We start from the raw sequence: 16,817 nt of genomic DNA, 5'->3' as shown, positions 1-16,817 counted from the left end.
CAGGACCTTTTTTTTCTTATACATTTGCACTATCATGTAAATTAAAAATGAAATAGGTCGTCTTGCCCAGTTGTTTGTGAAGGATCATTTTCTAAAGGACACTTCCCAGATATTTGGCCAACCTCATTTTAAATCACTAAGATCTTTTTTATGGCCTCTGCTCTCAAGTTAAATAGCACTTATTATTAAAGTGAGAACTTCTGGAGATAATGCTTCCTTCTTAGATTTAATTCTGTGTTTTTTTTGTTTTGTTTTGTTCTTGTTTTCTTTTTTTTTTTTTTTTTGTCTAGCTTTATATTGCTATAATTTTCTGGTCACAAGATAGTTCTAAAACTTTTCCCAGGCACATAATATGATTTTACTTCCACAAGCCTGAAGTTTTTGGGACTATGTGACTTCTTTGGCTGATGAAGGAGTGCAGAAGTTATATGTGTAACTTCTGGATAGAGCCCTCACAATGACAATTTTCCCCCTCCTACCCATTGCTGCCCAGATTGCAGAAAGGCATTCCCAGGTTAAGTGTCCATCCAGAGAGTTCCCTGGAGACCTTCTGCTTCCCAACTTTAATGGGTTTTATGAAGGAGAAATAAATTATTAAGGTAAATAAAATATTAAGAATTTAGTCAATTGCAGCAGGTAAAGTTCAAAAAATTAATGATAATCAAATTAAATTAATTGAAATTTTGATCTTTCTTGATATCAGGCAAAAAAAAAATCCCAATTACAAGGATACTATTACTACTACCTTTCTATGCACTGCTTGAGCCAAAATCTTCAGAAGCTTTTTTCTGCAGAGAATTTAGGCTACACTATTTAAATTGGGTGAATATAGTTCATAGGAGCAGGGAACAGAATGGGAACAGGAGAGTATAATGTGGGTAAATAAGATCTGGGAAAATAACATTACTTACCTTTAGCAGAAGAATCTAGAAATAAAGATTCAATTTACATACTATTTGTGTCCTTTTGTGGCAAAAAGTAAATTCTTAAAATTGAATATATGAACATTGCAATGATTTGTTAAATAAAATATTTTACTTCCCTGAAGTTTGCAAGCAGATATTCATTTAATTTCTTATATATATTAAGAAAGATTTCTCTAAAGGGCTGTCAGTTACAATGACAGTTTCTATTCATATTTTTTGTCTTGCTTTCAGTGATAACACTATGGCTGTTTAATATTTCTTATTAATTTCTATTCACACAACCTCATTCATTAGGTTATGATTTATTCTGATATTTGTGATTGTATGAGGTTAGGGTTCCAGGAAACAGAGTCTGAAAGATTTTGCTGCAGAAGGCTTATTGGAGATGGCCCCTATAAAGTAAGGAGAGAAGGAAAAATACAACAGAGGCTTCAGCCAATTCCAAGGGGAGATATGGAGCTGGGATAGCCCTTCAAAACTGTTTCCAATCAAAGCAAGGAGGTCACATCTTATGGCCCTGCATCAGAAGTCATTGAATGAAGGTTAATCCTATGAAGAAGGAGGTGGGGCAGGTAATTGTGGTAAATTGGAGCTCCCTCAGCTGAGGGAAATTTCTAGAGAGATTATAGACCTAAATATAAAAAGAGAAACTTCCTGGACACATACAACCTATCAAGAATAAAACATGAAGAAATAGTAAACCTGGACTGACCAATAACAAATAAGAAGATTGAATCAGTAATAAAAATCTCCCATCAAAGAAAAGCTCAGGACCTGACAGCTTCACTGCTGAAATCTACCAAACATTTAAAGAAGAACTAATATCAATTCTTCTTGAACTATTCCAAACAATTGAAGTGAAGAGAATTCTTGCTAACTCAGTCTATGAAGTGAGCATTACCCTGATACAAAACCAGGCAAGGACACAACAAACAAGAAAACTACAGGCTAGTATTCCTGATGAACATAGAGGCAAAAATCCTCAACAAAATGCTAGCAAATCCAATCCAATAGCACATCAAAAAGAATATTCATCATGATTAAGTGGGATTCATACCAGGGATACAAGGAGAGTTCAACATTCACAAATCAATAAACATTACTCATTACATCAACAGAATGAAGGCCAAAAACATATGACCATTTCAACAGATGCAAAAAAAAAGCATTTGATGAAATGCAACATCCCTTCATGATAAAAACTCTCAACAAATTTGGTATAGAAGGAATCTGCCTCAGCACAATAAAGACCATATATGACAAAGCCATATCTAATATACTGAATGGAGAAAAGTTGAAAACATTTTTACTAAAATCACAAGACAAGGATGTCCACTTTTACTAATTTTATTCAACATAGTACTGGAAGCCCTAGTCAAAACAATTAGGCAGTAGAAAGAAATACAGGGCCTTCAAACTGCAAAGGAGGAAATCACATTGTTCCTGTTTACAGATGACATGATCTTTTGTATATGAAACTTCAAAGACTTTACACAAAAACAGATCTTTACAATAAAAACTACAAAACATTGATGAAAGAAATGGGTACACAAATAAATGGAAAGATTTCTCATGTTCATGGACATATATTAATATTGTTAAAATGTCTTCACTATCCAAAGAAATTTACAGATTAAATGCAATCCCTATCAAAATACCAATGGTATCCTTCACAGAAATAGAAAAAACAATACTGAAATTGGTATGGAACCACAAAAGACTCCAAACAGCCAAAGCAATCTTGATAAAATAGAACCAAGCTAGAGGCACACTACCTTACTTCTAAATATACTGCAAAGCAATGGTAAACAAAACAGCATGCCACTGGCATAAAATACAGAAATCCACACATTTACAGCCAACTGAGCTTCAACAAAGTTGCCAATAATACACACTGAAGAAAGGACTGTCTCTTCAATAAATGGTGCTGGAAAAACTGGACATCCATATGCAGAAGAATGAAACTAGTCTCCTATCTCTTCCAACTTACAGGAATCAACTCAAAATGGATTAAAGACTTAAATGTAAACCTGAAACTATGAAACCACTAGAATAAAAATAGGGAAAACACTTTGTGAGATTGGTATGGGTGAGGATTTTTTGAATAAGACCTCAAAAACATGTGTAACAAAAGCAAAATTAGACAAATGGGATTACATCAATTTGAAAAGCTTCTGTATTGCAAAGGAAGTAATCAATATAGTGAAGAAACAACCTACAGAATGGGAGAAAATATTCACAAAGTATGCATCTGACAAGGCGTTAATAACCAGAATATATAAGGATACTGAACAACTCAATAGCAAAAAAAAAACCTAATAATTTCATTATAAATGGGCAAAAGACCTAAATAGACATTTCTCAAAAGACAAATTGCTAACACGTATATTTTTTAAATGCTCAACTTCACTAATTGGGAAAATGCAAATCAAAACCACAATAAGATATCATCTCACCCTAGTTAGAATGGATATTATTGAAAAGACAAAAAATAATGAATGCTGGTGAGAGCAGGGAGAATGGGAGATCCTTATATATTGTTGGTGAGAATGTAAATTAGTACAACCACTGTGGAAAAGAGTAGGGAGGTACCTTAAAAATTAAAAATAGAACTACTGGCCAGGCGTAGTGGCTCATGCCTATAATCCCAGCAATTTGGGAAGCCAAGGCAGATGGATCACTTGAGGTCAGGAGTTGAAACTCTATCTCTACTTAAAAAAAAGTACAAAAGTTATGCAGGTGTGGTGGCATGTGCCTGTAGTCCCAGGTACTCAGGAGGCTAAGGCAGGAGAATCACTTGAATCTGGGAGGCAGAGGTTGCAGTGAGCCAAGACTACACCACTGCACTCCAGCCTGGGTGACAGAGTGAGATTCTATCTAAAAATAAATAAATAAATAAACTACCCTATGATCCAACAGCCCCACTACTGGGTCAATATCCAAAGCAAATGAAATTAGTATGTCAAAGAGATATCTGCACACTCATGTTTGTTGCAGCACTATTCACAATAGCAAAGATATGAACTCCAACTAAGTGTCCATCAGTGGATGAGTGACTAAAGAAAATGTGATCTATTTACACAATAGAATACTATTCAGCCACAAAAAAGACTGAAATTGTGCCATTTGCAGTAACATAGGTGGACCTGGAGGACATCATGATAAGTGAAATAAGCCAGACACAGAAAGACAAATACTGCATAATCTTACTTATATGTGGAATCTAAAAAAATCAATTTCATAGAAATAGAGAGTAAAATAGGGGTTACCAGAGGCTGAAGAAGATTAGGGAGATGGTGGTATAGGGGGATAAATACAAAGTTATAGCTAGATAGGAGGAATAAGTTCTAGTGTTCCACTGCAAAGCAGAGTAACTACAGTTAACAATAATACGTATATTTCAAAACAGCTAGAAAAGAGGATTTTTAATGTTCTTAGCAAAGAAATTATAAATGTCTGACGTAATAGATATGCTAATTATCCTAATTTGATCACTACACATTATATACACATATTAAAACATCACACTGTACCCCATAAATATGTACAATTATTATGTGTCAATTACTTTTTAAAAGATGAAAACAACAGGAAAAAATCCCTAAAAGTATAACATTCCTAGAATAAAAATTAGGAGAAATATTTGTAGCCTCGGGCAAAGATTTTTTTAGATCAGATGTCAAAGCGTGGTCCATGAAAATACAAATTGATAAATTAGATCTCATCAAAATAAAAAACTTCTGTTCATCTACAGACATTACTAAGAGAATTACAAGACCAGGTACAGACAGGAGAAAATACTTGCAAAATATATATGAAAAATTCTTTACATCCAAATCATATTTTTTTAAACTCTCATTATCAAATAAGAAACTAACACAACTTGAAAATGGACAAAAGGCTTGAATAAATACTTCACTAAATAAGATTGAAGGATGGCAAATAAGCAAGTGAAAAGTTGCTCAACACCATTAGCTATTAAGGAAATGCAAATTAAAACCACAATGAGTTATAACTAAGCCTATTAGAACGACTAAATTTTTTTTTTTTTTGAGATAGAGTTTCGCTGTTGTTGCCCAGGCTGGAGTCCAATGGTGTGATCTCAGCTCACTGCAACCTCTGCCTCCTGGGTTCAAGTGATTCTCCTACCTCAGTCTCCCGAGTAGCTGGGATTACAGGCATGCACCACCATGCCCGGCTAATTTTGTATTTTTAGTAGAGACAGCGTTTCTCCATGTTGGTCAGGCTGGTCTCGAACTCCCGACCACAGGTGATCCGCCCACCTCGGCCTCCCAAAGTGCTGGGATTACAGGCGTGAGCCACTGTACCCGGCCACAGAATGACTAAAATTTTAAAGGCTGACCTTCATAGGGTTGCAAAGAATGTAGACGAACTAAAATTTTCATGCATTGCTGGTGGGGATGTTAAATGATACAATGACTTTGGAAAACAGTTTAGCAGGTTTTTCAAAAGTTAAAAGTACACCTACCATATGACTCTACCACCACTCTTGTGTATTTTCCCAAGAGAAAAGAAAGCATATGTCTATACAAAGACTCATGCATGAATATTCATAGAAGCCTTATTTTTAAGAGCCTAAAACTGGAAATAATCTAAATGTCAGTCAACAGACAAAGGATTGTCTTAGTCTGTTGTGTGTTGCTATAAAAGAATATCTGAGGCTTGGTAATTTGAAAAGAAAAGAGGTTTATTTAGCTGATGGATCTGTAGGCTGTACAAGAAGCATGGTGTCAGCATCTGCTTAGTTTCTGGAGGATCTCAGACTGCTTCCACTAATGGTGGAAGGAACAGGAATGTGCAGATATCACAGGGTGAGAGAAGAAGCAAGGAGACAACACAGGCAGGTGTCAGACTCTTTTTAACAATCAGCTTATTGAGAACTCACCCCCAAGGGAGGATGTTAATCTATTCATGAGGGATGCAACCCCATGACCCAAACACCTCCCATTAGAACTCCCTCTAACACTGGAGATCAAAGTTCAACATGAGATTTGATGGGGACAAACAAACCATATCCAATCTGCAGCAGGGATAAACAGATTGGTACCTCCAATACAACGGGAAACTATTCTGCAATAAAAATGAGTTATTGATACACACTACAACATGGATAAATTTCAAAACAATTTTTCTAAGTGAAAGAAAGCAGTAAAAAAGGGTACATTCTGTATGTCTCCGTTTATAAAAATCTCAAGGAAATGCTTGAGGGGTGTGGGCAGGTGGGGAGAGGCAGGTGGGGGAATTCCTAAGGTGCATGAGTAACTTTTGAGGGTGGTAGATAGGCACATTATCCTGATTGTGGTGGTAGCTTCACATGGTATCAAAACTCATCAACTTGTATACTTTAAATGTGTCAATTATGTCTTAGTAAAGCTGAAAGAGAGAGAAAGAAAGGAAAGGCAAAACAAAGAGTTTTGAGATGTAATTTCTTACCTATTAGAGTGGTAAAAAAATTAACCTATTTCCCAGAACAGCAACAAATCTTTATTTAAATATAGATACATATACAATTTTATATTGTTCTCATCTTAACAATAAACAGCGATACCTCCTTTAAATCACTTATTTAAAACACAAATGATATATTGATAACCTTGATTCATTAACGATTTGAAAGTTTGCTCATCAAAGGAAAGAATCTTTTGAAAGTCATCTTAGAATGTTAAAATTTATAGATACCAGAAATATGACCAAATGTATGTTTCCAGCAAAACTAATAGTATATTACACTAAGTATTAAAAGAAGAACAGAATTTATATAATTTGACACAAATAAGACACTGCTTGCTTTCCCCAACTTATCAAATATAATATGTTTTAGCTACTTTAAGGTCACTTTATAAAGCTGACTTCCTATATAGTGGGCTATTATTTGATCTTACAAATTAAAAACCAAAAAGTGCTTTCATATATTTGGCACTTAAAATAGTGATTCTTTAATAAAGTGATCACTAAATTACTACTTGAAAGCTAAAGGGCTTATGGGATTTTATAATAAGCCTAGTTTTGCACACTGAGTAAAATACTTCATATATATTCTAGAGCTAATGAATTCATACCCATAGCCTTACTTTTAGATGTGGCACTCCACATAACCAATGACATTATATGTTTTACATTGCTTATTTCTATGTGTCTAGATTCTCAGAAATAGTTCAGAGGGAGCAGTCGTGATCCTATTTTGGCCAACCCTTCTTGCAATAGAATTTTTATTTCCTAAACAGCTTCAAATGAGATAATTTATATGCACTAGCTATTCTGTCAGAAGATGTTAAAATGCAGCAAAAGCAATAGTTTAAATAACATTCTAATTCTCCAGCAGGCCCAAAGAATAGATAGGGTTGAGATAAATGGGGACTACCTGGCACCTGAGAGTGGATTTAAACAAAGTCTTACTGGATTATCCCATCAGGTTCCTGCGATAAAGTAAACACATATTCTTTGATCACTTAACATTCTGGAGCTCCTTGAATCTCCCCGAATCTCAATTTCTTAATTTCTAAATTGGTAATTATAACAATAGGAAGAAAATTATCAATATAACAATGATGATGCCAGACACCACCCTCATGGGCTGCTCTACGGATTCAGAGGGACAGGGAATTTCAATCACCTGCTACTACGCCTGGAGCTCAGTCTGTTTGTTTTATTTCAAATGATATCGATCGAGAGCCATTTTGATGTCTGAAATTTTGTCCCAGAGACTAATAAAGCTCAGTCCTTTCTCTAGGAATGCACAGTTTACCAACAGAGTTCAAAAGTCAAAGTAGATTCAGAGAATAGTGCAGTAAAGGCAAATAAAGAACCACCAAGACACAAAGGCAGAGAGAGCGGGGTTAATTCTGCTTGGTGGTCAAGAAATCTTCATGAAAAGATTTTCTCATCTCTGTCTTCTCGACCAAAACTAAAAGCAATTATTTAAAAGAGGCAACTGAGATCCACCTGCAATTCGGTTCCTCATGGTTCACAGCAGAATCCATTCTGCTGAGTTCTGTGCTCTGTGAGTTCCATGACTTAAAAGAGACTGCGTTGTGGAAGAAGGCAGCAGTAATCATGGATATCCCCACCACTTTGAGTCTCTAATCCCAACTCCCTCCAGCTAAATGTATTTCTTTAGAAATATTTTTTTAAAAATCAGAAACCGAAGCACAACCAGTTCCTTCAAGCCCCAGGGATCCCAAGCTTACCCATTGTAAATTGGAAGGGGATGGATTCTGAACTCCAGGAAGCTAATTGAAGCCCTTGGCAGAAATCCTAAAGGTAGTAGGTAATTGGCACCTTGTCCTTTTCAGTGTAGATACCGTCCATGAGAGGGTTACCTCTAGGGTGCTGGTTGATTAGCATCCTTAGAAGACAGGGCAGTTAAGTAGAAATTGGTGCCCTGAAGATTCCCATATCCCAAATTCAAGGGTCCCCACCAACCAGAGAAAAATTGTTTTCATATGGTCCAGTGAGGGACACTCTTTGGGCAACAGTATCATAAACAGCTCCATTAAATGAAGCAAAACTTCATTATCAGGTTTTCTTAGCTGAAAAAAGCAACATAAGATTAAATTATCACTAGAGTTAGAAAATACATTTTTAACTGAAACCAAACTAATTTGATTTGCCTTTGGCTAATATTTCTTCAAGAGAAACACTCTTTCTGAAAATTATTATAAATTTGAGAGCTATGTCCAGTTTGTCTAGGACCAGGTAAAATGAACTACACTGACAAGAGAGATGTTAACGTTTTATGATCAAAAATAATTCTACAGAAGTGAGGTTCTAGATATATCACTCACAAAAGAATCAATTATTCTTAGCTGGTGATAAGGTTTGGATCTGTGTCCCTGTCCAAATCTCATGTTGAATTATAATTCCCAGCGTTGCAGGAGGACGCCTGGTGGAAGGTGATTGGATCATGGAGGCAGTTTCTCACGAATGGTTTAGCCCCATCCCCTTGGTGCCTTGGTGCTGTTCTCATGATGGTGAGTGAGTTTTCAGGAGATTTGGTTGCTAAAAAGTGTGTAGCATTTCTCTCTCTCTCTCTCTCTCTCTCTCTCTCTCTCTCTCTCTCTCTCCCCCTCTCTCCACCTCTCTCCCCCTCTCTCCCCCTCTCCCCCTCTCTCTCTCTTCTTTCTCTCCTCCCTCTCCCTCTCCCTCTCTCTCTCTCTCTCTCTCCTGCTCCCACTGTGTGACATGCCTCGCCACCCCTTTCCGAAAGCCTAATTGGAACCTTCCTAAGGCCTCCCCAGTAGCAGAAGCCAAAGCCACTATACTTCCCGTACAGCCTGCAGAACTGCGAGCCAATTGAATCTCTTTTCTTTATATATTACCCAGTCTCAGGTATCTCTTTATAGTGGTGCGAGAACGAACTACTACACCTAGTGATGCCGGGATTCCAACGGACTGGTAGGCCAGAACTTCTGAATCCAGAAAGAAATAGAGAAATTAAAGAACAAAGTCCCCTGGCCCACACGGAAGCCCACTGGAATGCTATCAATTCCGAATAACCATGCTCCTGTACACTCTCAGGCACTTAACCATTTTCACATCCCAAAAATCTTATTTGAAGTGCACTAGTTAAGTCCATTATCTTTATTCTACAGATGAAAAGTAAAGCTCGGAGAGTTTAAATGACTTGGCTATCATCACAAAGGTTGGAGATGGCAAATTTTGGCCTCATCCCAAGTCTTGATTCTTAGTCTGTAATTTTTCTCCATACTATACTGCCTCTATATTAGAGCTGAAAAGATTGTTCCAGAAATATCTCTGGTGGAGTCCAGAGGGTCTTCAACCTGAATCAAAGGAGATTGAGGGAAATATAGATAGCTAATGTTTTTCTTTTCAAAGAAAAATCCTCAAACTTACATAAAAGTAGAGAATTGGTATAATGATCTTCTGTATACCCATCACCTAGCTCCAGCACCTCTTAGCAACCCACACTTTCACTGGAGGCCTAGGGAGGGACCCAGTGGTGCTCAGGTAGAAAGGACCCAGCTTTCCCAAGACATAATGGAGCTCATGGTGTAAGAAGCCTTCAAGGGTCACAGCGACTTGAAAGAGAATAAAACTAGATGTATCTGGAATAGACTGTGATTTAAACCTCAGTCTAGCTAAACCAAATACTGTGTTGTACCCAATGTATATCATTCGTGTGTGAATTCCAGGATTTCCTCATACACAAGCTGACACTTCAAAAATAGCCCAGGGATGTCTATAGTATTGTAGGGCCACAGAGAGCAGTGTGGCATTTATTACATGTCAAAATAAGAAAGGCTGTGCCACATCACATGTAACTTTTCCAAAGCCCCAGTAACATCCCATAGTTACCACTCCACCCCACTTTACATCAATCTTCTACTTGGAAAACAACTTTCTATGTTTTATTTCTAAAATCTTTACTAGTAAAATGTGAAAACTAAACAATATCAAGAAAACCTTAATATTAATTAAAGAAGTTAGTTTCATTACCTGTAATGATTTTTTTAAATAAAGAATTCATACAAACTTCATTTCTTACCGATACTTTGTTTTCTTGTGGTATATCTGACTCTGAACTTCCAGACGTCATGCTGAAAAAAAGTAAACATTTAGAATTCCAAAATTTTATTTCAGGCTCTCATGTGCGCACACACACCCCCGCACATACAATGAATAGATCATTACACTGTAACATTTAAAATAAATTTTCTAAAGTATTTCCTCCAAATGTCAATTTCTGGACATTTCTAAGGGAAATAAAAATAATGGAATGTAAACTTTACTCGCAGAAGATAAAATAGCCTTTAAAAGTTCTCTTGAGAATAAGTAGTCTGAACAGTACAATCTGTTCTGAAAACCTGAACAATCTTGTATTTCAACTAAAAAAAAAAAAGTGGGGAGAGGAAAGCATAACCTCCTAAGAATCAGCAGACGTGGAGAATTCTTTGTCTCCTACACTGTTCTCTCTCCCTCTCTCTTCTCTCTCTATCTCCTGGATCATTTCCATTAGCTTATAAACATGTTGTTATTTATCATGCCTAGAGCCTTCTTACCGTTTTAGTTTCCACTTGATTATACTGACCTCTTTTGCTATTCAGGTTACAGCAAAACGATATTCTCACTGTCTCCAATTCCTTCCCTTCTAGTTTTCTTTCTTTTTTGCTAAAGCCACTGCAATTAGACTAGTACCACTACTAGTACCACTCCACAGAAACTGCACTTGTCCAATTCACCAAAGATCTCTGCATTCCTAAACCCAGTGATTATTTTACACAACTCACCTTAACAGCTTTTGACATGACTTATCACTCTCTCTCTGAAATACTTTCTTCACTCAGTTCCCAGCACATCCAAGGGCCCTGGATACTTTCAGTCTATCCACTTGGCTTACTCATCCTTCCTTCTCGTCTTTGATCAAATGTCACCACCTCAGTGGGACCTACCATATGTATCTCATTTAAAATTTAACCCCTCACCTCATCACCATACTATTTTCTCTGTGATACTTATCACATTCTAACATACTATATAGTTTGCTTATTGATTATATTTTTTGTGTCATCTCCCAACTGAAAATGTAAACTCCTTGAAGACAGGAAATTTTTTCTGTTGTTTTTGTTACTTTACCCTCAGCATCTTGAAGAAGGATAGGGTGGTCAACAAATATTTGTTGAATAAATAAATGAATTATCTAATAAACCTCACAGATGTAACAGATTCCTTTCTATTGTTGTCAATCAATAAAGCCTTACTTTTTTTTTTTTTTTTTTTTTTCTGAGATGGAGTCTTGCTCTGTCACCCAGGCTGGAGTGCAGTAGCACAATCTCGGCTCACTGCCTCCACTTCCCGGGTTCAAGTGATTCTACTGCCTCAGTCTCCCGAGTAACTGGGATTACAGGCACATGCCACCATGCCTAGCTAATTTTTGTATTTTTGGTAGAGACGGGGTTTCACCATGTTGGCCAGGATGGTCTCGATCTCTTAACCTCATGATCCACCCACCTCGGCTTCCCAAAGTGCTGGGATTACAGGCGTGAGCCACTGCGCCCTGCCAATAAAGCCTTACTTTTAAATCCCAAGGTACTTTTATTATTTTCTATCCCACTATCTTCCTCATGAATACATTGTTTTATTTCCATATTTCTGTGCACATGTCTCTCTTTTACTCATTTTTCAAAAAATTTGAAACCATTTACAAATGTTCACAAAGTAATCAGTGACTACTGAACAAAATTAATTAAGTTCTCACTTAGTGGAAGGAGACACTGGTGCTCTAAGAGATGTAATTGCTTTTCTCGCACGACACCCAAATCAGCAAAAAAACAGTATTTTGGTACTTTCTACTTGACAACACCTCTTTATCATGAAATGGAAAACAAACTCTTGGTCATCACAGTTGCTGGACAAACCAAAAAATGGCTTTAAAGGATCTTAATAAATGGAGCCCTCTAATGAATTTCATCTTCTATCAGTGAAACTCACAAAACGGATGTTTTCCCTCAACTGTACAGCCTAATAGTCCAGAGTGTGTGTTTATCCTCTTCTTAGTTGTTTCCTCTGGCCAGAACACTCATACTCTCTTCTCTGCTTGTTGAAATCTTACATTTCTTCACACCATAACTCAAATGCTGCCTCTCCCTGAAGGCCCTCTGACCCTACCAGTCAGAAGTATTTCTTGCCTTTGTATTCCACAAGCAGGTTTTGGACATCCACCTCTTGCAGCCCTTATTATGGTTCATGATATATGTGATTATTTCTCTACCTGTGTTTTGCATTTCTCAGTGACACCCTCATAGAGGACAAGGACTGTGCTTCGTTTGTTTTTTATGCTGGGCAAAAAAGTCATATTCAGTCACCGAATGAAACCAAACAAAACAAAATACGTGAGTGCAATACCCTTATGTGCATACTCAGATGTGCCACAAATGCATCACAGAAAGTACAATTTGAGACTACTTTTAAATAATAATGCCTGAAACAAAACTGGTGATTTAAAAATGAGAGCTTTGGCTGCCTGACAATTATATTTAAAGGTCATGAGTCATGGCCTCAGAGTAACCATGGTAACCCAGCATACACAGGAGAAGTCATGTTGTACAATAATTAAGGGGGGAAGAAAGCTTTAGAAAGCCTATTAGCTTTGAGATAAAGACAAAATATAATTAACAAATATGTTTATAAAGTTTGTTTTTATTGCATTGTTTTCTTACTTCAGGGTTCACTGGAAACCTGGAAAAACTTCTTTAAATTTCTATTGGCAGGGAGTAATGATACGGCATTTTTCTCAGTGCATTATAAGAACATTGAAATTTCCTTCCTTTAAATGAAATGTCTTTCCGCTTTCTAAACTTTTTACTTCATTCTTCATGTCAAATTGGAGGACTAGTCACCAATTAGCCTGGGTGAATAAATGATTTATTTATTTATTTATTTATTTATTTATTTATTTATTTATTTATTTTAGATGGAGTTTCGCTCTGTCGCCCAGGCTGGAGTGCAGTGTCGCGATCTAGGCTTACTGGGGAGATATGTTATCTCTTTAGCTGCTTTGTTCTGGGAAAATAAAAGAAAATGAGTGTTTGCTAAATTTCATTAGCTTTAATAAATGGATAAAGCCTTACTCCCTCCCATAGATTATTTAATTTTTGAGGCTTATGGAATCCTTTGCACAAATAAACAACATTTTACATAAAATCTTAGATTTGTGAATTTCTCATATCATCCACAGACCATAGACCCAAGACGAAAAGCAAATAAGAACAAGGATCACACATTCACATAAGGAAAATACATTTTAAAACTTAACGAAGCAGGCCAGGCACGGTGGCTCATGCCTATAATCCCAGCACTTTGGGAGGCCAAGGTGGGCAGATCACCTGAGGTCAGGAGCTCAAGACCAGCCTGGCCAACATGGTGAAAGCCTGTCTCTACAAAAATACAAAAATTAGCTGGGCATGATGGCAGATGCCTGTAATCCCAGCTACTCAGGAGGCTGAAGTGGGAGAATCACTTGAACCCGGGAGGCAGAAGTTGCAGTGAGCCAAGATCACTCCATTGCACTCCAGCCTGGATGACAGAGTGAGACTCTGTCTCAAAAACAAACAAACAAACAAAAACTTTAAAAAGCAGAACCATGGTTGCATGTGAACATCCCACAAGGATACTGCCCTATAGGATGTAGCTCCTGCTACAGAGATGTGGCCACCTCTCACTCAAGATTTAAAAGAAAATTGTAAATGGAAGATATTTCCACATTTGAAAGGGAAATGAGTATGGTGTCAACATGCAAAATTTCTAGTAATTAAATGCAGATCAATTAGAGAAGTGAACTGTACTTCCATATTTCTAGCCAACATTGATCTAGGTTTTTATGTGGGGAACATGTAGAGGAGGAATGACCCAGCTTTTTGTGTGTGCATCTCTTGGCAAGAGAGTAGTGAAGATGACATTTCCTTTCAACTGAAAGAAGGCTGGCTTCATACCCTCCCCCTTCCCACATCAGTAAAATGGCTGGGGTGGGTGAGTGTGTGATTTTTAGAAGACCAAGTAAGGGACAATTTATTTGTTCAACAAATATTTATTGAACCCCTACTGTGTGTCAGGCCATGCCCTGTGATCTGGGAAGACAGCAGCTTTCAAAGAAAGGGGTCACTCTCCAGGAAAGGATAAAAAGTCTGTCTGCTGTTATTCCCCAGACTTTAAAGAAAGATTTTTTTTTAAGTACTGAGTGAAAGCTACTTTATCCAGAAATTCCCATGAATTATTTTGGGATGAGAGGAGCTGGGAACTCACCTGCTTCTCTCTGAGGTGTCAGACTCTGGGACCACAGATTTCTTGCTATAGCATTGTCCCATCTCAAGCCAGACCCACTGGGATCCCCTGTCCCTGGGACAGACGTCAACAGGCATCATTCTTTAGAGTTTTAGAATCCCTGCTATTGCTCTGCTGTCCCTTGTTGCTAGGCTACCACAATGGATGTGGAAAAGACAGTTAACTTCCCAAAGAAAAAAATCTCCGTTACAAAGCTGCAGTAACCTCTCAAAACATCTCACAAATCAGATCCAGGCATGAGAATAGGTGAAGAATCACCACATAGCCATCATTTCTGGAAAACTCATTCAAAGTGGAACAGAAACAGTGGTTTTGTGCTCAAACCAAGGCATGTTTACATCCAGAACCAATGCTAAGGAAACAGCCACACTGCTGTCTGAGAGGGGTGCACACCCAGAAATGCATTGGTTTACAGGCAATCAGTGGTGTCACCACAGACCAACCCCTTATTGTGATGATCTGCTTTCCCTGGGACCCGCCGGCCCCAGACAGAAGACCCCACCCGGCCACATTCTCATGAAAGCTTCTTTCCTAACACAGGATTGCACAAGTGATTCATTGTGCCTGATTAGCTGGTAGTTTGCTCACTGTTCACCTGCAACTGCTGCTCCATCTTCCCTGTTGCTTGTCCAAAGACACCAGCTACTTTCTCCCAGCCAGTTGCTGTATCTCTCCCTGGATGCATTTGTAGACCCAGGTGAACCTGTATCCGCTTCACTTTCTGCTCTGACAGGAAGTACAGGTAGGATCCCTGCAGTCCACAGCTCAGAATCATTCCTGGATTTTGGTCTGTATGTCCTGGACTCACCCAATCTAGTCACACGGCTCATCCTAAAATAAATTAGACTGGCATGACAGCAATGTTTCTAATCACAGAATTTGCTTCTAGGGTTAGAGCATTATAGAGCAAGTAACTACAATAGTAACAGGAATGAATAGTTAAGACTGATCTATTAAAGAGTATAATTAGCATTTACTTCTTCAACAAAACTTCAAGTGACCCAGCCCCTTGGTAAAAAAAACCCTATGAATAAAATTAAGAACTATTGAGCGGTTGTTGTTCTGGATAGAAAAGCCAACACTAAATGGGTAGTTGTGGAAAGGCAAGGATTGGGCAATCGGCCTTGCATGTAGTTAGCAGCCTGTTGGGGATCAGAAATCATCTTACCTCTCTGTGCTTTGGATTTGTTACTTTAAGAAAGAACCAAATTAGCCGGGTGTGGTGGTGGGCGCCTGTAGTCCCAGCTACTCGGGAAGCTGACGCAGGAGAATGGTGTGAACCCAGGAGGCGGAGCTTGCAGTGAGCCAAGATGGCGCCACCGCACTCCAGCCTGGGCTACAGAGCCGGACTCTGTCTCAAAAAAAAAAAAAAAGGAAGAACCACTTGAACTATTTCTGTCATCCCTTCTAGCTAACATTTTTGTTCTGTTTCTTTAGCTCATCTCATTTAAAAAAAAAAAAAAACCCACAGAGTAGATTACACTTTAGTGCATTTTAGAGGAATGTCCAGATGTTCACTGTGTAGTTGTAGTCATAATATTTTATAAAAGAAAAGTCATCTCAATAATGGCTGGTGAAAGGCACTGTAGGCACTAATTATTTGTAATGGTTATTAATCTTATCATACATCTAGCTGATCAAAAAGAGAGGTGGAGAGATATGGCTAGTACAAAAGCAGACTTTCAAAAAGTCCTTGAAAAACAAAGTGACTTTTCCATTCCCATTTCTCCTTTAAAAAAATACTGCATGGGAAGGATTTCAGAAGGTAGTGCTGAGGAAATTGGCTGGGTCATTAAAGGCATATTGACCTACAGAATTCTAAGCATGCTAACTAATAAAATTAATGGTATTTTTCTTTTATAATTAAGGAAAAGTACTTATGAAAGTCACTCAAATGATTTTATTTTAAAAAGTTGAGCTTTAGTTTAGAAAAACTACATTTTCTCCCTCTAAATGTAAAGAAAACAAAGAGGTATTATAACAAAACTTCTAGAAATACATATAAATCATTGACACTTCCACCATTAACATTGTTTTAAATTGAAAAAATGCTGTAAGCTCATTGGGGATCTT

The 16,817-nt window shown here is 37.5% G+C and overlaps 1 protein-coding gene across 9 annotated transcripts in view; it reads right to left on the bottom strand.

Annotated features, from left to right (window-relative positions):
- Nucleotides 1-15,997, bottom strand: part of CCDC192 (coiled-coil domain containing 192) — a 239,292-nt gene extending 223,295 nt beyond the window's left edge. For 7 of the 9 annotated variants that reach the window (XR_948757.4, NM_001317938.2, XM_017009812.3 and 4 more), the window contains exons 1-2: nucleotides 14,706-14,822; nucleotides 10,453-10,504 (exon numbers count right to left, since the gene is read on the bottom strand). Coding sequence is in view for 8 of the 9 variants with exons in the window: in XM_017009812.3 (XP_016865301.2) it covers nucleotides 10,453-10,504; nucleotides 14,706-14,821 (168 nt within the window). In the remaining variant the exon portion in view is untranslated. Of the gene's footprint in view, nucleotides 1-10,452; nucleotides 10,505-14,705; nucleotides 14,823-15,339; nucleotides 15,416-15,912 lie in introns of those variants that run through there. The other 2 variants (XM_017009806.3, XM_017009807.2) reach the window with 2 other exon arrangements.
- Nucleotides 15,998-16,817: the final 820 nt, after the last annotated feature.

The sequence above is a fragment of the Homo sapiens genome, chromosome 5 (genome assembly GCF_000001405.40).
Source record: "Homo sapiens chromosome 5, GRCh38.p14 Primary Assembly".
NCBI classification, from domain to species: domain Eukaryota; kingdom Metazoa; phylum Chordata; class Mammalia; order Primates; family Hominidae; genus Homo; species Homo sapiens.
This window is presented reverse-complemented; position numbering and strand designations above follow the sequence as displayed.